Below are 24119 nucleotides of genomic sequence, written 5' to 3'. Positions count from 1 at the left end.
CCGGAACTCCTCCCACCTCACCAAGGAAGAGGAGGAAAGTCTTCCATGGTGGGAAGAAGGTCACAGGGTCAGGGGCGCAGATACTCTTAAATACCAGTTAGTGAAAACGGCACATCAGTGTGAAAAGGCTTACTCCTTGGAAAACTGCTCCCGAGGATTATCTGCTATGTGCCAAGAGATGCCCTACTTATTAGATTGTATCCTTTAATCTCGACAACAGTTCTGGGCTTGACTGACTCCTTTTGCAGATGGGACCCCTAAGGTTCAAGGAGGAAAAGTCTTGCTCTCAAGATCACTTGGCTAGAGCCTGGGGGAGACCAGACTGGAATTCAAGTCTGTTTGGCCCCAGAGCCTGTGATCGTTCCTTAACTTTGCCACAATGCCTTCAGGTGTCTGAAAAATGAAGCCAGGTGTCTCGTCATTTGCAAGTCAGATATCTTTAAGCTAGGATGCCTCTCTGTGTCCCCTCCTGCAGTTATCTGCCTAAAAGCAGCTCAACCATGTGACACTGCCTTGAAAATCCTTCTTGTTTTCACCCTGCAGGCAGAGCCGACAGCCCGCGGAGCAGGAAGCCTGATTCCCAACCAGGCTCATTGCTGTGTGTCTGTAATTAAGGCCCTTGACATCTCTGAACCTCATTCTGCAGTTTCAGACATCCAGGCCAGGCACCGGGCCTTCCCTCCTTCACAAGGCAGAGGGTACAATGAGCTCACATCCAGCGGCATGCCCAGGGACTGGCAGAGAGCCAGCATCCTACAAATCCACAGGTCTGCTGGGCATGATCTACTGCCAGGAGCAGGGAACAGGCACTGCCCTCTCCTCCAAGAGGGCTGGAAGAATTAATATTAGTACAATTATTTTAATCAGTGCGTGATTAACAGGCACATGCATAATTCACCCGGCTCTTCCCTCTGCCTTGCTCTGGGCTTTTGGAGGCGGAGGGAACATGGCTCTGGCTCATTAGCTCTCCCTCCACCCTGTCCTGCCACCCCTGTGCTAGGGGAGGTGACCTCCTGGTGAGAGAGTCCTCGTGGGAAGGAAGGTTCAGAACAGCCTCTGCCCAAGGGACCCCTTATAAGGGACTGGACAGAGGAAGGGAGCCCCCGCTACCCCAGGTTCTTCCCGGGTCACTTCCCACCAGGAGCAAGGGACAAGGAGGTTCCAGACTGACCCCTCCTGCCTTTAACCTTGGATGTCTGCACCCCTCTCCCCGCAGCATCCCTCAAGGAGCTGCCCTTGTTATTCCATGGCATCTTCCTCTGAATCCTTCAAATGGCTCTTTCTCGTTTCCTCCCGGCTGTCTGCGGGTGCTAACTCTGCAGTTCACTCCCCGCTAGATAAGATAGGGAGGCCTAGTATTTGTCCTAAAATCACCTCCTTCAACCTTAGCTTCTACCAAATGTCAGAGCTAGAGGGGCCTGTTTACATCACACAATCCAGTCCCTCCAGATTATAAAGGGGAAATAGAGCCCAGATAGGGGAAGTGACTTGTCCAAGGCCACACAGCACATCTGTGACAGAGGCAGAGACAGAATTCTGAGTTTTGGACGCCCAAGCCCAAGAGTTTTACTCAAACTCCAGATAAGGGTCACACGGGCATTTGAATATGTTTGTTTCAGGGTGGAGGTGGGTAGGGGAGAGGCTGGGAGTCTGAAACCTGGCTTGGCCACCCACTAAGTGCTCGACTTCAGGCAAGTTACCCATCATCTGCAAGATGGCAGTGAACGGTCCCACCTCAGGGGACTGTACTGATGAAAGCAGTGCATAAAGCAGCCAGCCCAGGGCCCCAGAGACCTCCAGTGCTCACTGCTACCATTTGGCTCAGAATGGGCTTCCCAGAAGCAGACCTGAGGCAAGGATTCTGGTGCAGGTAGTTATTTGCAGACTATGTCAAGAACCACTGTCAGGGCACAGGAGAAGCCAGGCAGAGTGTGTCGTCGGCAGCTACCCCAGTGGGCAACGGGGCTCAAGCCCTGGGGAAACGCTGGGAGCCAGTGTCGAACAGACGTGAGCCTCAGAGTTATCCTTCCCTGGGGGGAGAAGGCGATGGGAATCGGGTGGGCAAAACTGCCCTGCCAGGCAAAGAGAACCCTAAGCAAAGAAATCAGAGAGCTGGCAGGGGGAAGTCGGGTGGCACGCTTGAAGTGACAAGAGCGAGCGAGGGGATGTGGGTGGGTCGTGACAACATCAGCTCCTGGAGCAGGCAGCTTTTTGTCTAACCAGGGACATGGGAGAGACTCCTGGGCCTTCCCGTCATCCTCTTCCTCGAGCCTTCAGATCCATGCAGTTCCCTCACTTCAAAGCTTCATTTCATCAGCAGCGGGAAGAATAGTAATGAAGCATGAAAGCTTGAGACTAGATAAAAGAAGAACTGCCCATCTGTGAAGACGCTTAGACACGGGCTGCTCGGATTCGGGGAACACATGGAATTCCTTCCTGCAACGCCTCGGGGGTGGGGTGCAAGCTCTCTGGAGATATGAGGGAACTAGAGCTATTTAGATGAAAGATCCCAGGATGGCTGTTGGAAAGCAGTACAGGCTCAGCAGGCCCAGCCATCTGGGTGTTTCTGTCTTTGCGGTGTGATTCCCCGCAAGCCACAGAACACATGAGGTTGAGCTTCCCGGAACATTCATGTATGGAAAGTATGATTTTAAAATTCAAAGAGGCCAGGCGCGGTGGCTCATGCCTGTGATCCCAGCACTTTGGGAGGCCGAGGAGGGCAAATCACCCGAGGTCAGGAGTTCAAGACCAGCCTGGCCAACGTGGTGAAACTCTTTCTCTACTAAAAATACAAAAATTAGCTGGGCGTGGTGGCACTCGCCTGTAGTCCCAGCTACTCAGGTGGCTGAGGCAGGAGAATCGCTTGAACCTGGGAGACCGAGGTTGCAATGAGCTGAGATTGCACCACTGCACCCCAGCCTGGGCGATAGAGTGAGACTCCGTCTCCAAATAAATAAATACATACGTACATAAATACATAAAATAAAACAAAACAAAATAAAACTCAAATCCACATCTGCTATTTCCTCATAACAGAATACTACACAGCAATAAAAAGGGATGAACGAGTGGTCCGTGTAACCACATGGCTAAATCTCCAAAGCATCATGCCAAGTGAACAAAGCCAGACCCAAAAGACACAAACTGTATGCTTCCACTGGTAGGAAATTCTAGAAAAGACCAAACTGCAGGGACAGGAAGCAGGTGGGTGGTTGCCTGGGCCTAAGGGCAGGATGCAGGAGATTCCAAAAGGTCCGTGATGGGACTTTTGGGAGTGACTGGCTTATTCTATATCCTGACTGTGGTGGTGTTTACACAACTGCATACATTTGTCAAAATGCAGCTAATCTGACAGTTCTAATTGGACTTTTTTGTTGGTAAATTATACCTCAATTAAAGCTGATTTTTTGTCGTTGTTGTTTTGTGTTTTTGAGACGGAGTCTTGCCTGTCGCTGAGGCTGGAGTGCAGTGGTGTGATCTCAGCTCACTGCAAGCTCCGCCTCCCGGGTTCACGCCATTCTCCTGCCTCAGCCTCCCAAGTAGCTGAGACTACAGGCACCCGCCACCACGCCTGGCTAATTTTTTGTATTTTTAGTAGAGATGGGGTTTCACCATGTTAGCCAGAATGGTCTTGATCTCCTGACCTAGTGACCCACCTGCTTCGGCCTCCCAAAGTGCTAGGATTACAGGCGTGAGCCACCGCACCTGGCCTAAAGCTGTTTTTTTAAAATGTGAAAAATTTTATATTAATTATCTTTCCCAGAGTAGGATAGTAAGATGACTTATGGATTGAGTCACACACACACACCAGAGGGGATGCTTGACTAGCACAGAGAGCACACACTTTAAAGTGCAGACTTCTGTTCAAAGCCTAGCTCTGCCCCTTGCAAGTGATGTGATTTGGGCAAGTCACTTCACATCTGTGAGTTTAATTTTTCTTGGGTGTGCAGTTGTGATATGGACTGAATTGTGTCTTCCCAAGTTCATATGTTGAAGCCCTAACCCCCAATGTGACTGCATTTGCAGGTAGGGGTTTTAGAAAGTAATTAAGGTTAAATGAGGTCCTAAGGGTGGGGTACTAATCTGATAGGATTGGAGGATTTGTAAGAAGAGGATAAGATTCATTCTCTCTCTCTCTCTGCACATGCAACAAGGAAAGGCCATGTGAAGTCCCAGTGAGAAGGCGGCCATCTACAAGTCAGGAGGAGAGCCCTCCCCAGAACCCGACCCTGCTGGCAGCCTGATCTCAGACTTCCAGCCTCCAGAACTGTGAGGAAATCAAATTCTGTTGTTTAAGCCACACAGTCTATGATATGTGTTATGGCAGCCACAGCAGACTAAGACAAATAGGGATATTAATTCTGCTCTACTAGTGTGAGCGTAACAAGAAGTAATATGTACATAAGTGCCTTGCTCCAGGAAAACAGACTCTTACCAAACTTTAATTAATAGAGTATTAGGTAGATGCTTCCATCTCAGGTAACAGGAAACATCAACAGGAAACTCAATTTGGTTTAAACAATGTTGAAAATTATTCTCTCACATAAGAAGTCTTGAGCTAGGGGGATTCTAGGGCTGATGAATTAATCAGCCCAGGCCCTCATCAAAGTCCCAAGTCTATCTTTCTTTCCTGCCCTCCTCAGCCTGTAAGCATGGCTGCAAGGTGGCTGCTGTGGTTCCAGCCCTCAACTGCAGACACAATCCTGTCCAGGGGACAAGAAAAGGAACTATTTCTTCCCAGGTACCTCTTCAACCTTTCCCAGAAGCTCCTTTATAGATTTCCACTAATTGAACAGAACTGTATCAGCTGCCCATGGTTGAACCAATCACTATTAGAGGGAACAGGTCAACCAGGATTGGCTTAGCCTTAGACCAATCATCACTCACTTCTTGGCTCTGGAGTTGGTGCCACCCCCGTGAAGTCCATATCCACATGGGGGAAGGGGAATTACTCAACAAAATTAAAGTTTTGCTAGAAGAGAATGGTTGCTAAGTAGGTGGCCAAGGGAGTTTGTGCCAGAAATAAGAATGAAGGCTTTTGTTTATTAAGTGCTTGTGATAAGCATTGTGCATTATCTCAATGGTTCTGCATGACAACTCTAGCATGATTAATTCTTGATTTACAGCAGAGGAAACTGAGGCTTGGAGAGGAAAAGTCACTCGTGGCTAGTGAGCAGCAGAGCCAGAACGAAAACTTTCTGACGCTGGGGACTGAGTTCCTAGCTGCTCTGCTACACCCCTTCCTCAGCATGACTATTTCCTTACCTATTATTACTTAGCCCTTGCCAGGAATCGTGGACCTTCAGGCACTTCCTGTTCCAGAGCAGAGAGGGGAGCGATTTCCCCTCCAGGTTGCTATGGGTGCCCTGGCCTTCGTTCTGCCCTGCAGCCCTCTGACCCCAGCCCTCTGACCCCAGGGATCCCATCAGGCCCTAAGGATGAGTCTTCATTTGGGAGGATTGTGAATCTGTGAATGCCTCCTCTCTGGACTGACCTTTTAATCATGGCTCAATTCTCACTGAGCCTAGGGTGGCTCTGGAAATGAAGGCATCTTGAGGGCTTACAATTACTGGCATGAGAGTGAGGCCAGCATGCTACAAGACACCGAGACACTTGCTCCAGACAGTGTCTTCCAAGCTCATTCCACACACCTAGTCTCACTCCCAGGTCCTTCCACAGGCAGCCTCCCCGACGGGCCTGCATGTCTGCTGTTTCCTTGCTTTTGTTCATGCTATGCCTCTCACCCAGATTGTCCTCCTCTCTGATTCCCTGCATCCACCATAACCTGACCCTCTTAAGTCCACCTGCTCCATGAAGCCCTTCCTGAAGGTGCAACCTACCCTGACCACTGTCTTCTCTGAATGTAAGACCACTGGTTGACAATGATCATGAGTCTCAAATCTGCAGCCTGGAAGAATCATGGACAGGAGGGCGTGTGCCCAGCCAAGTGAGATTTCCTCAGCCTTCATCAGAACCGGGATAGCAGTGTGCTTTAAAGCATGGACTCCAGAGTCAGGCAGTGTACGTTCAAATCCCAGCTCTGACAATTGCTGCTGTGCCAACTTGAGCAAGTTGCTTAACCTCTCTGTGCTTTACTTCCTCCATCTGTAAGATGGGGACAATAACAGTACCTATTCCCATAGGATTCTTGTGAGGATTACATTAGTTAAACAAAAAAGTAAAATATATAGGATAAAATCAGCAAGCAGAAGACATTTAATACATATTAGGCATTCTTACCTATTGAATCAGACTCTCTGGAAGTGGGACCTGGCACTCTGTATATTAATGTATTATCCAAATGAGGTCTTTGGGGCCTATAGCCAGCCAGCAGGGGTTCAAAGTTGGCCATTTGGGAGCCACCGATTTGTCTTATACAAATCTGGATTCTAGAATCCCTACTCAGAAATGGTCACTGGCTTCATAAGACCCCATTCCTTAGCTAGCTGTCTGGTTCCCAAGAATCTCTCTTTCTGACCTCACTTCCTCCCCTGCCCCTGCCACTGGCATCCTTTAATCCTGGCACAGGATCCCCCAAATGCAGCATCAAGGTCCAGTGATGCCTTTGCCCATGTGGCTCCCTATAACTGGAATGCCCTCCTTACCTTCTCCACAATGAGGGCACTCACAGCTACCACTTCCTGGGCGCCTGCTGTGGGCTGGGGCTTGTGACAGATCCTGGGCTTGAACACAGATGCACTTGGTCCTAAGATCTGTGGCCTTCATGGCCACCTGCCATACCTTGTTGGCACCGCTGCTCTGTTGAACTTCTCCCGGTTCCATCTCCTGCAGAGTAAGAGATCCCCTCCCCCGCCAAAAAACCCTGCTCCACTCCTGTCTTATGGTCCACGCATTTTCCAGCCTGTCTGCCTCCCCCATCAACAGGCAGCTCATCTCTGTGGGCCAAGTACCACACTGTGGACCAGGAGCCCCAAGGACAGTCCTTCCCCGCACCCCCAGGACTCCATGATTTGAAAACCCTGCTCTCCCTACCAAACAAGCGGCTCATATTCAGCAGCAATTAGCCCATCTTTCATTTCTGTTAATCAGGCGCATCTGACTGCCAGTGAGAACTCCCTACCCTGGGCTGGGGGCAGGGGGCTTCAGCCATCAGCAAAGACACTCGCTAACTCGGCCACCTGTGCCGCCATCCTCACATGGGGCGGAAGCAGCCAGGGTATGTGATTTCCTTGGGGTCTTATGAGGAAGTGGAATTAGCCCTGGAATGCTTGGGCCACCCTTGTGAATTGGAAAGAGCAGAGGACCCCAGCACCACGGTTGGCATCCCAGTTAGCGTGGGCAAGACGGGGGTTAGAGGAATGGTGGAAGAAAGAAATACGCCTGGGCTTCGTCTTCAACCACTCCCAGGCATGAGTGGAATTCCCCAAGCACAGGGGCCCCACTTCCCAGTTCCCTGCTCTTCCTCCACCCTCAGGACCTGACACTGGATCCCGCTCGCCAAAGCTACTTCGCAGATGGGCCTCCATGGCGGATCCAGCTGGTGGGGATCTGATCTGGGGAGTCTCTGCCTGGGCCATTGGGGCCCAATGTGAATTCTGAGCCTTTCTCTGAGGGAGTAAACAGCAATTCCCCCAAAGTCATCATCACTCATTAAATATTAACACTGTCCATTTGCCAAGTGGGTGCTCCTAGGTGAGCATAGCCACGCAGGCGAGCAGCCACAGGTTAGTGCTGTGCCCTTGTCTGCAAACCCAGACAGACACTCTGAGCCCCCTACTCCTGATTTCAAAGCCTCCACACACAGGGCTCTTCGGGGCCCCTCGGGGCTGTCCACCTGCACCAGCACCTGCTCCCCTCCGGCCCCAGAACCCCGTGTTTACTGCAAATGACATATATGCAAGGGCCATAGGCAGGGTTCAAATCCCAGCTTTGTCACTTACAAGCTGGGTGACCTTGGACAAGTTACTGAGTCTCTCCAGCTATAAATGAGCAATAACACCTTTACTACTGTGTACAATCGAGCATTTCATGAGATAATATGTGTAAAGTGCCTGGCATGCAGCAGGTTAATTCGGATAGGGAGCGATTCCTTTCTTCTTCCATCCCCTGCCCCTTGCAACATAAGGCGTAATTAAGGAGAAGGCTGAGTGAAAGAAGGAGAGAGGGACAGGCGATAAAGTGACAGGGTCTCCTGGTGCATCTAGCAGTGGTAACATCATGGGATTCAGTGGTCCAGCTCTGAGGCAATGACCCTGTCCTCAGGTCCCCTTGTCTAAGTGACGATGACCCAGGGTGCAGGATGTTGGTTCTGTGCTGCTGAGAAACTCAGGCATGGAGCTGAGTGATGCTTTGATATTACAGTGGTTCTTATTTATGCAACAATGTGTGTGTTCAGTGTGCTGCTAAGTCCTTAAGCTGCCCAGTACCAGCCATAAAAGCCTCCGTATATCACCCTGAACTCCCTTCCTGGGTAGTTTAAAAGAATGAGAGGTGACTTAATGGCAGCGTTTAAGGGTTATTATATATAAGTTAACGGCCAGATGCTCTTCCTTGGTGAGCAGAGTGACGAGGAGGGGGCTCTGGCAGCAACAGAGACCCTCCTTGCAGTTCAGAGGGTTTAACGTGTCTTCACCCCACCCCCACCCCAAAGGCAGCAGGGTGGTCCTGCTGGACTCCCAAGGTCCTGTCCAGCCCCTGGGGGACATTTTGGACCATGATGCTAAGCTGGTTGTTCTCCTTCCATGAATGTGGTCATTAAAAGGAGAGCAGGTGTTCCTGCGGTAGAGGTGATCAAGGTGTTTGTGGCGCACGTGGAGCAGGGAGAAGAATGAGGAACGTGCAGGAGGAGCTGGCCCTGGGATCTGTGGAGAGGAGCCAGACACTTCGGAGTGGCACCCAGGGCGCCGGGAACCTGAGAGTGCCCTGGCCACACAACTGCACTTGCTGTGGGGAACAGAGAGTGTTCAGTGGGGACCCTTCTCTCCCCTGTACAGCAGGAGTGGGGATGGAGGTGAGGTCCCAAATAGGCTCCCCCACCCCAGCAGATCACGAGGGTGGAGGTATGCAATGAGGTTCCAGCAGCAGAAGGAAAGGGTGGACGGGGCCCTTTTCTCTAGAGTGGGCTCACCATAAACCCCACGCCTTCTCAGCCTAATCCACTCACGGTGGGAAAGGAGGGAACTTGGCAAGGCAGGTGGGTGGTGGAGGGCACTAAGCCTTTCCACAGGGATCACTTTCACTGGGGTCACCACCACCCAAGACCCTTTTCTAACCAGCATGGGGGTGCATGCAGAGAATTTAGGCTCCCCAGGTTCTAAGCTCAGCTCCTCCACCTAGTTCCTAGTTGGACTTTGGGTAAACAATTTCACCTTTTCAAGTCTTGGTTTCCTCCTCTGTACAATAAGGCCGGTCATATCTACCTTGCAGGTTTGCAGTTAGCATTAGATGAGGTAAAGGGCCAGGCACTGAGCCACCTCTATCCAGCATGGGCCCTTGGACCAATCCCCACTTCTTGGGGATGTCTCTGATCATCCAGCACTCTTGCTTCAGATACACCCTTCTCAAGCCCTCTGCGATCCGTGCCAGCAGAGCCCTTGCTCCCTGAAAGCTCAGGCTCAGCCAGCGATGTGTAGCGTGAACATCATCTGCTCACCCCGTGCCCCTTCCCTCTGCAAGCACTTGTGGCCTCACAGTCAAACTCCATCAAACACTTGTGTGTTCTGCCTGTTTCAGGTAAAGACGGTTCCTGTTTCCACAACAGAGTCTCCACGCTGCCTCCCACTTTCAAACCAGAAACTCTCGAGTAGACAGAGATGCCTTGTGATCCAATGAAGGTGATCTCTCCTTTCCTGCCTCCCTGCTCTGGGACATCCTGGGCCTTCCCACTGCAATGCCCTCTCCCACACCCCTCCTTCCTACCTGTGAAAATCCTCTTCCACTTACAAGGCTCAGATATGAGTCTCCCTTCCCCATTTGGGCTTTGAAGGACAGCAGGGCCTGGCCCATGCATTCCAGGTCATGGTCCTGACCATGAGTCCCTGAGAGCAGATGCCTGGACAGACCCCACTCTGCATCCCCCTTCCCCTCAGGCCCTCGGTGCCATGGATGCTTGATAAATACGAGCTGTTATTCATAAAGAAAATCGCAATGGTTGCAGCATACTGAACCCTGGTGACGGGCCAGACACGGAGCTACGCGTTCTAGAGATATCATCTCATTTCGTCCTCACAGCAGCTCTGCCAGCTAGCTATTATTAGCGTCGTTTATAGAAAAGAGACTCAGCGTCTCAGATAGAGTGACTTGCCCAAGGTCACCCTGCGGCTGTGCGAATTGCCAGGACTTCAGGCCAGGGAGGTCAAAGTGACTCCAAAGCCCATCACACCCTTTCCTCTGGATCAAGCTGTCTCTGAAGACAAATTAGGGGAAACCAGGCAAAGATAAACACTCAGTTTTCTGGAGCAAAGCTGATTTCAGATATTCAAATTTGGAGACTTGAGGAGGCTATACTGCATAGGGTAGGGAGAAAATATACAAGGTAAAATTTTTTTTAAAAGCAAGCTCAGAAAAAAAGATATGTGGGACTCTGTTAGTGGCTTGTTAGGAATGCTTGTTCCCTGGTTCTGTAAAGAAATAGCACTTGAACATAAATTTAATTTCTTCAGCAAGGCCATTTTTACTTTCTGCAGAAAGGGTACACTTGCTAGCAGTTTTACCACGAGAGTACACTGAACAAAGGAGACAGGGTCGTTTATAACCTGACACATCTACCTTACTGCTGTGTCTGGTTTCTACTGGCTGGAATGGGACCTCACATTTTGTATTTGTCCTGATTGGCTAGCAACTTAGAACTTTTTAAAAGAGGCAAAAGCAGAAGAGAACAAAGGAAGGAGGAAGTAACTTGTGGAATGCTGAGAAAGATAAAAACACTTTTAAATAAGGAAGAGGAACAGGCTATGACTTAATGCTTGCTTGGACTGGTATAAACATGCCAGGGCAAATATTTAGGCTAAATTGTGGGAGCTAAGAACATAAAGTGCAATTGATTTCTTTATTACGGCTAGCAGATATTTAAGGATGTTAGCACAGGTCTTTGAACAAATTTTGCCTCTAAGAGAAGTTACTATTTATTCTTAATTAGATGGGGAGGAAAGTCTTTGAAGAAGAACCTCTACTTTACTCTTTACAGGCTGAGAAGTGTTCCCTCAAAATTCTTATTTGAAGCCCTAATCCCCGGGACCTCAGAATGTGACTGTGTTTGGATGTAGGGCCTTTAGAGAAGTAATTGGCCTAAAATGAGGCTGTTAGGGTGGACCCTAATCTGCTCTGACTAGTGTCCTTATAAGAAGAAATAATTTGGAGGCACAAGAGACACCAGAAATTGCCATGCACAGAGGAAAGACCATGTGAGGACTCCGCAAAAAGGTGACCATCCGCAAGTCCAGGAGAGAGGCCACACAAGAAACCAACGCTGCCAGCACCTTGATCTTGGACTTCCAGCATCCAGAACTGTGGGAAAAACCATTTCTGTTGTTTAAACCACCCAGTTTGTGGTATTTTGCTATGGCAGCCCTAGCCAAGAAATACAGACTCCTATTATGAATGTTATCCTCAACATATGAAAAGTTCCTAGAAATTGTGAAGAAAATGTGGCACATATACACCATGAAATACCACGCAGCCACAAAAAATGATGAGTTCATATCCTTCGTAGGGACATGGATGCAGCTGGAAACCATCATTCTCAGCAAACTATTGCAAGGACAAAAAACCAAACACCGCATGTTCTCACTCACAGGTGGGAATTGAACAATGAGAACACTTGGACACAGGAAGGGGAACATCACACACTAGGGCCTGTTGTGGGGTGGGGGGAGGGGGGAGGGATAGCATTAGGAAATATACCTAATGTAAATGACGAGTTAATGGGTGCAGCAAACCAACATGGTACATGTATACATATGTAACAAACCTGCACATTGTGCACATGTACCCTAGAACTTAAAGTATAATAAATATATATATATATAAAAGAAAAAATACCAACAAAGGAACAAATATGGGCAAAAAGTATGAAAGATAATCGCGAAGAAAGAAATACAAATTGCCCATCAATATATGAAAAGATGCTCAACCTCCTTCACGATCAGTTAAAATTGCACTGATCAGACGGGCAACATTTCCTAAGGTGTGTGTTTGCTGACACCGTGTTTGGCAAGCCTGTGGGAGAACAGGGTGAGGCTCTCCAACATTGCTGGGGGGAGCGTAAATTGTACAACCTCTGTAGAGGGCAATTTATCAATATCCGATTGAAAGAAAGGAGAGAAAAGGATAAAAAGGAAAGATGGATGGAGGGAGGGAAAGACAGGAAAGGGAAGGACAGCAAAGGAGGTAAGGAGAAGAATGAAAGGAAGGAAAGAAGGGGGTCAGAAGGAAGGAAGAGAGGGAGGGAAGAAAGAAGGAAAGGGGAGAGGGAAGGAGCAAGGAAGGGAAAAACTTGTGCCCTGGAGTCAGTCAAACCCAGGCTGAAATCTCAACTCTGCTACTTATTAGTCCTAAACCCTTGAGTAAGTTACTTACCTTGCCTATGCCTCAGTTTCCTCATCTGTACAAGGGAGCAGTCATAATACATGCCATGTAGAATGCTATACAGATGGAGCTAGTATGCTGTTCTATCATTATTGTCATCATCATTATCCTCCATGTGTCAGCCACTGGGCAGTCTCCCATTGGTGGATTCTCTACTTCTTTTCACGTTCATTGTGGTCCAGTAATTCACCAAATCAGTAACTAAATTGCATTTCATATAAATGATGGCTATCACGGTATTTCCCTTTTCATATAAATCATTTTTCAGGAATTGGAAAACACCCGTTATTGTTAGATCCTGAGCTCTGACTTTTGGTTTGGAAGTTATGAGCACTTAGCTAAATCCATCAGTGCCCCTAGGCTGTGAAGACACAGTGAAGTCAGAGAAGACATTGGTGGGCACTTCTGTTCCTTCCCTTCTCCCACCCCAAAGAGGCGCTGGGCAGGAGCTTGGGGGGCCTTTTCCCACCCACCAATGCTGGCTGCACCAATGGGGTTGCAGGGAAGTTGGAAAAATGCAGGTCTCTAGCACAAATAGAGTGGATGAAAAGGACAGCATAGGCTTATCTCAGGAGCCTTGTCTCCTGCTGGGGAAACCGAGACCGATGTACCTGAAATGTAGCTGTGCAGCCTTGTCCAGAGCCTTGGGGATCTGCTCTAACCCTGTGCAAATGTGTCATGGTTTGCAAAAGAAACCGCCTCCCGGCAAGTGCCAAGGAAATTGGGATTTAGAGGCAGATACATCCATCCTCCCATCCTGCACTAACTCCTCCCTCCACCCTCTCACCTCTTTCTCTTTTATCCCTTCTGCAACTCATCCTCTGTCCACCACCCCATCTGCCATACCTCCTCCTGCGACATTAACACCACCACCAATAACAACCACTATTCTGAGTAGTCACCACCGGCCTGCCACATTGCCTTTTTTTTTTCTTTTTTGCCCAACAATTCCAGAAGGTAAATATCATGATTCTCCCTTTATAGTTTAGGAAACGGGCTCACAGAAGTGAAGCAGATTTGTCCAAGGTCTTAACCCCAGAATACGATACCCGGCCTCTGCCACTGTGCCCCCAAGCCCCATGGAAACATCTTTCATTCAGAAGAATCACCCTAGAATGACTGGGGATTAATTTAACCTCCCCATGTCCAAATCCTGCATGGCCAACTCCAACTCACCCTCCGTCTACCACCCCCAATGTGACACCATCACTGTTCACAGAACATGATCCTGGTCCCCCAAGTCCAAAGACTCCTCTGGGTTTCAACCCTTCTGCCTTCTGGACCTCACTTACCATCATTGTCCCCAGGAGAGCGGCTCCTTCCTTTTGGCCTGGTTTAGAGGGTGAATACGGTCTCATATCTCAGCTTGCTAAACCCTCTAATAAAGGGAATGAAACTAACATTTACTGAGCACCTATCATATGTCAGGCCCCACGCTATGTCCCTAATATGCAGACGCTCCTCAACTTACAGTGGAGTTACATCCCAATTAACCAATCTTAAGTTGAAAATATCCTAAGTCAAAAATGTATTTAGTACACCTAACCTACAGAGCATCAAAGCTTAGCCTAGCTGACCTGAAACGTGCTCAGAACACTTACAACGGCATATATTGGGCAAAACCACTTTGCACCACAGTAAGCTGCAGGGTATCAGTGTATCACTGTCCTGATGGCATGGGTGACTGGGAGCTGCAGCTCCCTAATGCTGTCTGGCACTGCTAGGGAGTTTCCCACTGCATCAAAATTCAAAATTCAAAGGATGGTTTCTACCAAATGGCTATTGCTTTCACACCATTAACGTAAAGTAGAAAAATGGCAAATTGGGCCAGGTGCGGTGGCTCACACCTGTAATCCCAGACTTGGGGAGGCAGAGGCAGGCAGATTGCTGGAGCTCAGGAGCTTCAGACCAGCCTGGGAAACATGGCAAGACCTTGTCTCTACAAAAAAATACAAAAATACAGGCACATGTGGTGGCACGTGCCTGTAGTCCCAGCTACTCAGGAGGTTGAGGTGAGAGGATCGCCCTAGCCTGGGAAGTTGAGGCTGCAGTGAGTTGTGAGTTGTGATCATGCCACTGCACTCCAGCCTAGGTGATAGAGTGACACCCTGTCTCAAAAAAAGAAAAGGAAAAGGAAAAAGAAAGAAAGAAAAACAGGAAATCGAATCATTGTAAGTTAGGGACCACCTGTATATTAAGAAGTTTGCTCTATAGGAAGGGTATGATGATCCCCTTTTGCAGATGAGAAAACAGAGGCTCAGAGACGTTAAGTGCCCTGCCCAAGGTCACACAGCCCTCCAAGGGGATCTGGAATTCCAACCCAGGTCTGCTTCATCTGCTTGATTTCAAGCCTCTGTGCCTTTGCTCCACCGCTTTGCCTTTTGCAGTAAATGCTTCATAAATATTTGGCCTCCTCCCACCGCCACGCGAGACTGTATCAGTGTAAGTTGGGAGCACATCTGTCTGGCATCTGTTTTCCTTTCAAACATGTGTTTGTTTAACCCCGTTTCATAGTTTTCCTCGCCTTTGAAAACTCTGGCAGGCCTCTCAGCCAGGGGATTGCTGAGGGTTCAGGCTTGTTTGTTCTCCTGTCACCGGTGGGATACTTGGAATGGGCGCTTGCAATGTGAGCAGCTGCTTCGGCCTCTGCCTGATAAGCCCAGGAAAGTGGGCTGGGGGGAAGGTAAATAAGGCTTTTGGTGGCCTGGGTAGAGTTCTGGGACTCAAGCTGGCATTTGCAGGCTCAGAATACAGGGCACGATGTTGGAATCAGGCAGGCCTGGGCTGGTGACCTATCTCCAAGGGTCATTCACAGCACCATCCCCGCAAGCCACCTCTGCTTGCTCCTCTGCGGCATGGGGATGGTAATAGTGCCTAGAGAAGCACCTGCTCTATACAGCAGGCATTGTGTGAATGCTGGCTTTCCCTTCTCGTTCATGCCAGTGGAGGCTGGGAGGGCCCCGTAGGGACTCTGTGGAGAAAGGAGGCTGAGGCTGGCCGTGCTAAAACGGGAGAGGGCCGAGTCACGGGGTTTTCTTTCCTTACCTGGACCCCTGAGATTCAGGAGTTTGCTGATCTCAAGTGCAGGCCAAGGAGGCCAAACTCTGGCCCAAGAGATTCCCTGGCCAGGCCCCAGCAGGAACAGAGGCCTAAAGCTCTACAGTTGGTCCCCTGCACCCATAATGACTTCCCAGTGTCTTCCAGGATGCAGGGGGTACATGGATCACAGTCACCTCCCATCTCGAGCAGGCCAAGTCAGCCTCCAGGAACGGCCACCACCACCCTCCATACCCTCTGTGGTCCTAACCGTCAGAGCCCACATTGGTCCAGCACTCTACAGTTTAGGAAGGCTTGTCAGCAATAGGATCTGCTGACTGCAGTGATTCTGGGTGGCTGCGGGTGCAGGGACTGTGATTCCCAGATAGAACAAGGAAGCTGAAGTTCAGAATGGGGAAGCTGCTGGTTTAGTTCCCCCCATCAGTGGGTTATAATGACTATGACAGGAGCAGCCATCGTCACACCGAATGAGCACGCTCTGAGTGCCCGGTCCTTCCCCAGACCCTGTGAGGAAGTACTGTACGATCCTCATGTTACCAGAAAAGAAATTATGACTTAAACCAGAAAACACACAAGTTCGCCCAGCTAGAAAGTGCAGAGCCAAGTGTGCCTTAAGTCAGACACCTGGGCTTGTCACCAGGAAGCCACACCCAGGAGAGCTCACCGCCTGCCATTATAGGAAATCTAACTATAATAACATCTGCCTTTTGTTGAACACCTACTGCATGAGGGCATAATGCTGTGAGCGCTTGAAGTGCTTTATGTCATGTATTCTCTGAACACATCTGATAAAGTAGGTTTAGCCCGTTTTATGGATAAGTATAGGAAGGCTCAGAAGGACCCCAAAGCTGGTTAAGTCCCAGAGCTAGGCTCTAACTCCAGCAGAGTGAGACCAGTGAGGCTTTTCTATCTGGTTATAACTCTTCTTAAACTAGTTCGGTGAGAAGTGACTGTTTTTCCTTCCTTCTCTCCCCCTAGCCTGGCCCTGCCCAAAGATCACCACTCTGCCCATCCTAGGGGATCCAGAAATGCTTCTGAATTTGTCCTCTGAGGACCTGGACCACGTCAAGATTTGGATGTTCATTGGGAAGCTGTACTAGTCTGTTCTCACGTTGCTAATAAAGACATACCCAGGGCCAGGCAAGGTGGCTCACGCCTGTAATCCCAGCACTTTGGGAGGCCAAGGTGGATGGATCACAAGGTCAGGAGTTCAAGACCAGCCTGCCCAATGTGATGAAATCCAATCTCTACCAAAAATTCAAAAAATTAGCCGGGCGTGGTGCTGGGCACCTGTAATCCCAGCTACTCAGGAGGCTGAGGCAGAGAATGGCTTGAACCTGGGAGGTGGAGGTTGCAGTGAGCCGAGATCACACCACTGCACTCCAGCCTGGGTGACAGAGCGAGACTCTCTCTCAAAAAAAAAAAAAAAGACATACCCGAGACTGGGTGATTTATAAAGAAAAAGAGGTTTAATGGGTTTACAGTTCCACACGGCTGGGGAGGCCTCACAATCATGGCAAGAGGCACATCTTACATGGCAGCAGGCAAGAGAGAGAACAAGAACCAAGCAAAAGAGTTTTCTCCTTATAAAACCATCAGATCTCGTGAGACTTACTCACTACCACGAGAACAGTATGGGGGAACCACCAGTCCCTTCCACAACACATGGGAATTATGGGAGCTACAATTCAAGATGAGATTTGGGTGGGGACACAGCCAAACTATATCAGCAGGTGAATCCGAGAGAAGGCAGAGGGAGCTGTGAAGGGCCCATTGATTCTAACATTTCTTCGGCCCCCTGTTCGGAGTCCTCCATGGCTCCCTATTGCCTGCTTTCTCTAGAATCCAAACTGCACCCTGACTTGGAGCATCTTCAGCAGACAAGTCCAGCCTACTGATCATCTTTCATTGAGCACATTTTTCTCAGGTTCCGGAGCTGTGCTGGACACCAGGCTAGTGGGTCAATAGAACAGAACAGCTGGAGGAACTCATAGTCTAATGGGTACAGTGACAGCACGATGTGATGGTCAGGGGATGGGCAGAGAGGCGACCAAACCCAAGGCAGAGACTCTCAACACAGGCACCAGGGAACCTGGGAGGGTCTGGGAGGAGGTGCCACCCTAGCAGAGCCCCGAAGGATGAGTGGGAGGGAATCGCCCTCAGCACCTCCTACCTCTGGGGGTAACGCCCATCTCCAGACTCTCCCACACACCCTACATTCTTTTCTCCTCCAGATTCTATGCCTGGGCAGGACCTTCCCACCCTTCTCTGAAAGGGTGCATAACCTTCTAACTACATAACCTCCCTGATTTCTCAATGCCTATCACCCATATCCAGTACTTAGCCTGAAGAACATGGCTCAGAGATGGGAAGTGACTTGTCCAGGGTCACACAGTAAGTGGCAGAATGGGGATTTGAACACAAGCCCAGGGCCTTCTGAAGGCAGAGAGATTGAGAGAGAAGAAAAGAGATTGAAAGACACAGGAGCTCCAAAGTCAAGGGCAGAGGGATGCCAGGAATGACCCCTGGGCAAGGGCAGCAAGGATGGCTTCTGGAGGCACTGTTCCCCGACGCTGCCCTGGTCAGGAGTGGGCAGCAGACACCCGGGCCTGGGTGGGTGGGCAGAAGTGACTCAGATGTCCTGTCAGGAGGATATTAACAAGCCGTCCATCCAATTAGGAGTCAGTAATTAAAATTCCTCTTCGTTCCTACCGCACAGTATTAAACCACAAACACTTCATTATATGCCTCTTACCTCGCTGATTTGCATAAATGGGAAGAAACACTTAACAGCAGCAACACTAATTAATGCCGAGGGTGCACTGTGGTTTAGTGGCCTGTTGGCAGCTTCTGCTCCGGCTGAGGGTGAGTCCTGTGCAGGATGTGAACACCATCAGGGGTGCCATGGCAGGGGGTCCTAAGGCGGGGGATGGAATGACAGGGCAGGTGTGTGAGATCCTGAAGGACTTCAGACTCAGTCCCTGCCCTCAGGGAGCTCCCAGTCTGATGGGGGCGCCACTGAGCTTGCCCTTAGGGAAAGATCCCAGTTTGATGGGGGAGATATGACCTTCATAGTGTCCCCAGGGACCCTATACTAGGATATTCCTAGTGTAATGGAGGAGATGCACGTTCTACCTTTCGAGGGTCTGGCTGACGGGAGGTGTACAGCTTCTGCCCTCAGGAAGCTCGCAGTCTAGTGGGAGAGACAGAGTTCCTGCTCTGAGCAAATGCTTACTCTGATGGAGGAGACCCTATGGGAGCCCTGAGTCAGATGGAGGAAACACCCCTCCCCTCCAAGACTCATCCAGCAAAGAGGCAATCTGATGGAGTGGAAACATCATGGTGTTGGAGTGGCGAACCAAATATGTGACCCTGGGAAAGTTATTTAACCTCTCTTAATTGCAATTTCCTCATCTGCAAAATAGGCACTTAGCATCCCATTAGTGGCTGCAGCTGGGAGGAAGACGGGCTGGACTTGCAGGTTGCAGTCTTGCTTAACGTGTGTACCAGACCGGGCTGGGAGGCAGAAAGTCAGAGCGGACACGTTGAGAACAGGACGATGGTGACCACAGAGATGAATGAACCCCCTGCCTTGGGAGTCCCCAGCTTGTGGGCTGCAGCGTGGAGGCAGGGGAGAAAACTACTCACTTATAGACAGACACACGCACAGGGCCATGGTGTGGCTATGACCGAGACCTTGAGGGGATTGGCGGGGAGCAGTAAACCTGAGCTCCTGGAGCTGCCCCCAGAGTGGCTCACAGGGTGAGGTCCTGGGGTACCCACCAGGCAGGTGAGCCACCATGGCCAGGGGACAGACAGCGAGGCAGAGTTAGCCCTCCAAAGAAAGAGCTAGAAGCCCCACTGCCCCTCTGAAATTCCACGAGGCACCAGGGAGTCTGGGGCCCTGGACTGAGCAACACAGCAGCAGTGAGGGTTGTAGAAAGTTATTTTGAGTCTGAATGTCTCTTTTTTTTTTCTTTCTTTTTTGAGGTGGAGTCTCCCTCTGTCACCCAGGCTGGAGTGCATGCAGTGGTGCAATCTCGGCTCTCTGCAAACTCCGCCTTCCGGGTTCAAGCAATTCTCCTGCCTCAGCCTCCCAAGTAGCTGGGATTACAGGTGCCTACCACCATGCCTGGCTAATGTTTGCATTTTTAGTAGAGACAGGTTTCACCACATTGGCCAAGCTGGCCTGGAACTCCTGAACTCAGGTGATCCACCTACCTCCGCCCCTCAAAGTGCTGGGAGAGTCTGAATGTCTTTTTGACGGGAACTGCTGAGTCCGGATTTCAGTCCCACTGTCCGCTCTCACTTCCAGCCTCACACCTGCACCCTGCCCGGTCACCTGCAGTGGATGCCAGACTTCCTGGGCTGTAAACACTCAGAGACAAAAGCCTCAGAGCTGGCTGTTAGTGGCAGCTCAACTTGTTTGGAATCTTCCCTTAACTTTCTCTGGTTTCTCAACATTTGAGCTAAATTAAGAGGAGAGACCCAGAATGCCACAGACCTCTCTCCGTATCCTCAGTACAGGGGATCAATGGGAATCCTTTTGGGGGCTCAGCAAGAGTGAACTTGGTTGGGGCTGGGGACGGGGACAGTGGCTTTGTTGTTGCTTTCTGGAAGAAACAGCACTCGGGCTTAGAGCCAGGGGACTGCATTTGAATCCCAGCCCTGTCGCCTACTTGCTGTGCTTCCTTAAGCCTCTCTGATTTTCTCCATCTGCAGAGAGAAGAGGAGGAGACGCAGAGTGGGCATGAAGTGTGAGGTTGTGGGCACGGAGCTTGGCCAGCGAGGAGTGCCCAGTGGGCACAGGGCTTAGCCAGTGAGGAGTGCCCGGTCCAGCCTGGTTTCCTTCCTTCCCTGATGACCACCTCCTTAATAGTGGAGAATTCCATGCCAGCCCAGACACTCCAACCCCTGGAAGTGCCAGCCCCAGCCCTGGATGCCCACCCACTCTATCAGAATGTTCCTCTAGGGCTACACAAGTCCAGGTGAAGCCCAGGCCCTCCCCGCAGGATAGAAGCCAGCCTGTCGCGTGTGAGAGGTGCCCTGGCCCACTTACCGGGATTAGCTACCAGCTGGGTAACTATTTACACAGGCTGCCAGGCCGGTGGCACATCATAATTATATATTATATGTATTAATACTTCACCTTTCGCCAGCACCGCATCCGGGCCCATCAAAACATGTACAACTTTAATCAATTAGGCTCTCAGCCTCCTGACCGACCACACTTCTTAGCTTCCCGTTCTTGATCCCGCAGGGATGGGAGCATGGCGCACCCCAGGTCAGCGCCCAGGCCTCCTGGAAGGCCCAGCCTTTGTCTGGCCTTCAACAGAGTGGGGTGCTGGCTTGCCCTCTTCCAGCCCTTCCCGGCTCCCCTCAACACTGCACCAGCAGTTCATCACCAGTTCCCCAAGCCTGGCTGTCTTTCTTGATTTCAGGCTTGCCAAGATGGTCTCTATGTCCTATGACTTGGTTGAGGGGCTGAGTCCCTCTGTTAGGCACCCCAGCTTTTTGGGCACCCGGGGCCCTGCATGCTGTGCATTCTTCCCCTTCGTGAGCTCAGCAGAATTGCCCCTGGAGGGGGCTGGAGAGCCAGCCTGGGTGGGACCCCTTTTTCTGACTGCTCTCAAGCCAGTTGGTTGACTGCCTCAGAGGTGCCAAGCTCATGGTACACAAGGGCTGGATGGTTATTCCTATAGCAACCCTACAAAGTAGGTATCCTTATCCCCATTTTACAGATGCAGGAGCAGAGGCTCAGCAAGGAAGTCACATGGCACCAGCAGAGCCAGGGCCAAAACTCAGAGGACTCATGGGACAGCTTCCATGCAGGGGCGAGGCTCTCTCTATGTCCCATCCCGTGCTGGGTGCCAGGTGTAACAGGACAGCCTTGCCTTCAAGGGGTCACAGCTGGGGAGGCGGGTGCAAATGACAAAGGCAAGTGACAAAATCCAAGTGCATGCACAGTGCCATGGGGCCCAGGAAGCAGAGGCTCCCTGGAGACCCTTGTGACTGGCTAGAATCTACAAAAATCCTGGAAGGCTGCCTGGAGGAAGTGTGAATCTAGTAGCGCTGGCCTCTTGACTATATCAGCCTCAGCTGGGACCTGCAGGAGGCATAAGTGAGCCCCCCATTTGCCTAGCCCCTGCTCCCCTCCTGCACTTCACAGTCTGCCCTCCCTGGATTCACACTTCCTCCAGACAGTCCTCCAGGATTTTTCCAGATTCCAGCCAGTTGCAAGGGTCTCCAAGGAACCCCTCCTCTAGGGAAGTGAAAGGGAAGTGAAAGGAAAATGAAGGGAGGAAGAGAAAGGAAGGGAGGGAAAGAGGGAAAGGGAGGGGAAAGGAGAGGACGAATTTGGTTACACAAAGCAACTCCATTTTCTCTGAGCCTAAATAGTTTAGCTCTTGTGTTCTCTGCCTGGAATCCACCCCACCCCCACCCCTCCCCACATCCTTCAAGTGAGTTCTAACCCAGAAGCCACTGCTCTCCCAGGGCAGGGCCTCCTCACCCAGCCCTGCCCTGGGCCTCCTTGCCTGGGATGAGAATCATTCTCAGCATCAGATCCATTGCAGCTGGGGACATGTGAGCTTCTCTCAGGGCAGAGCCCAGCACAGGGTCAGGGGTGACAGGGGTGATCCCAGCCTCCGTGAGCCAAGAAGACTGAGTGGCTGCCCACTGATATCTCCTTTCCTTTACTGAGTCTGAAGACCTGAGGAGGTGAAGCTTTGAATGGGGAAGTTTTGATATAGGAAAGAGGGCTGAAAAAAAAGATGTAAAATGGGAGATGGGACTCGCGGCCTTGAAAGAGATGACAAAAGAAAGAGAGAAAAGCACTCAAATCAAATCCCATCCAAGTCCCCTGTAAGGAGAGCCCAGGCAGAGAGGCAAATGCAGACAGTATCAGGCCAGCGAAGCAAATGAGCGCATCAGCCCAGGTGAAGGCGATAGGGAAGGGTGGGGACTGGGGTGAAGCGAGGAATGCATGTTCTACCTAAAGGTGAGAAAATTAACTAAAACACACAGACAGTGGGCTCACCGTGGCTCCTGGGATGCCAGTCAGTGGTCTGTGGATCCCACGGATGCAGATAAGGTGGTGAGACCTAGGAACGGATCGGCTCCTACAATTAAATCACTGTGTGATGCGGGCAAGACTCTTCCCTGCTCCGGGCTTCAGTGTCTCCACCTTTTAAAGGAACACATGGGCTCAGGGCTGCATGAGGGGTTCCAGTCCACAGCAGCTGATGAAATGAGATGCAGCTGGACAGTCCTGGTTCAGTGGGGATGGATTCGCAGACGCTGCGTGGGGAATCGGGGACAGCATGCATCTGGGGCTCAGACCAACGGAACTCAAGTCCTGGTCCCTTCGTGTCCCCAGCCCCCCACCCCACCACCTCTGCCATCCCTAGCTGGACCACCACAGATGATCACTTCACTCTCCTGACCCTCAGTTGCCTCATTTGCGAAGTAGAGATCATCACACCAAGTCCATAGGATGGTGAGGATGAAAGGAGAAAATTCACCTTCGGCACCTGGTTCCCAGTCAGTCATCCACCCCGTGGCTGCTGCTGTTTTATGAGCAGTGACTGTGCCTTGTTCTTCCTGCCTGTTATTGAGCCAAGTCACTGGGTTTGGCTGCGCTTAGGGTCCAGCCCTAGGCCTGGGGCCTTTTGAGTTCCCTGGGGCTACATTGCAGATGTCTGAGCAGCTCTGAGCCCCGCTCCATCCATCTGGCTGGGGCCTCCTCTGCGGAGTGAAGACAAGACTGTTGGCATTGGCCTTCTGAAGCCCATTAGGGCCGTGTGTGGATGCTAATGGGATGGACATCTCCAAGAGGACAAAACCATCTATAACTGTTCCATGGTTGACAGTGAAGCTGAAGCAACGCCCGGGAATGCCTCCATCACTCTCTTGGCCTCCCTACCACCCACTGCCTGTTCTAAGCCAGCAGAGCGGCTGGGAGCAAACCTTCTCCTTTCAGGACCCTGTGGTGGCTGCTGCTGGGCAGAATCTGAGTGCCCTTGGGGGCTCGAACACTGAGCCCCCAAACCTGGGGCTGTCACCATTGTTGGCCGGCACACTGCAAGCAATCAACATCAACCCTCGTGCTTTTCCATCATAGCTATGGGCAGAAGCTGTAGGAGGCTTGTTAACTGCATTATCTCTTCTATCCTCACCTGTACCCTATAAGATAGCCTTGGATATTCCTATTCCAAGGAAACAGAGGTTCAGAGAGGCTAAGCTGTTCAGACTTACACAGCTACTAACTGGCAGAGCTAAGGCCAGATCATGGAACCCTACGTGAAGAAGCGGCATCTTGTTATTTAGGGCTCTGGGCACTAGGAACTGGGGAGCTGTCCTTAGTTGGCTTTATAACAATGCATGATGAGAAGGGCAAAACTTCATGGTCCCTCCATGGCCAGAGACCAAGCTCCATAGTGATGGAGCTTCAAGTCTAAAATCTAAATAAGAGAAATCATGATTATGATAATCAACACCAGTTACTAGGTCCCAAC

General features: G+C 50.6%; 1 protein-coding gene and 1 long non-coding RNA gene across 7 annotated transcripts in view, besides 3 other annotated features; one reads left to right on the top strand and one right to left on the bottom strand.

Annotated features, from left to right (window-relative positions):
• The window catches only part of IGSF21 (immunoglobin superfamily member 21), a 270686-nt gene that overhangs the window by 201766 nt on the left and 44801 nt on the right, over positions 1-24119 (bottom strand). The window lies entirely within an intron of this gene.
• Positions 514-1013: an enhancer, noted in NCBI's record as "H3K27ac hESC enhancer chr1:18502199-18502698 (GRCh37/hg19 assembly coordinates)". NCBI's record gives its function as "activates a minimal SCP1, AML or CMV promoter by ChIP-STARR-seq in naive H9 embryonic stem cells {active_cell/tissue: H9 hESC(naive)}" and the evidence as "EXISTENCE:reporter gene assay evidence [ECO:0000049][PMID:30033119]".
• IGSF21-AS1 (IGSF21 antisense RNA 1) lies at positions 682-16665 on the top strand. 5 transcript variants are annotated; one of them, XR_007065512.1, is made up of 8 exons: positions 700-767; positions 3037-3160; positions 4155-4269; positions 4644-4741; positions 5908-6021; positions 7051-7177; positions 9694-9794; positions 16582-16665. It is a non-coding gene; the product is annotated as an IGSF21 antisense RNA 1 (long non-coding RNA). The 5 variants fall into 5 exon arrangements; XR_007065514.1 differs by lacking the exons at positions 5908-6021; positions 7051-7177; XR_007065513.1 differs by lacking the exons at positions 3037-3160; positions 4155-4269 and having other exon boundaries at positions 703-767.
• Positions 1014-1515: an enhancer, noted in NCBI's record as "H3K27ac hESC enhancer chr1:18501697-18502198 (GRCh37/hg19 assembly coordinates)". NCBI's record gives its function as "activates a minimal SCP1, AML or CMV promoter by ChIP-STARR-seq in primed H9 embryonic stem cells {active_cell/tissue: H9 hESC(primed)}" and the evidence as "EXISTENCE:reporter gene assay evidence [ECO:0000049][PMID:30033119]".
• Positions 19841-20719: an enhancer, noted in NCBI's record as "H3K27ac-H3K4me1 hESC enhancer chr1:18482493-18483371 (GRCh37/hg19 assembly coordinates)". NCBI's record gives its function as "activates a minimal SCP1, AML or CMV promoter by ChIP-STARR-seq in primed H9 embryonic stem cells {active_cell/tissue: H9 hESC(primed)}" and the evidence as "EXISTENCE:reporter gene assay evidence [ECO:0000049][PMID:30033119]".

The sequence above is a fragment of the Homo sapiens genome, chromosome 1 (genome assembly GCF_000001405.40).
Source record: "Homo sapiens chromosome 1, GRCh38.p14 Primary Assembly".
NCBI classification, from domain to species: Eukaryota; Metazoa; Chordata; class Mammalia; order Primates; family Hominidae; genus Homo; species Homo sapiens.
This window is presented reverse-complemented; position numbering and strand designations above follow the sequence as displayed.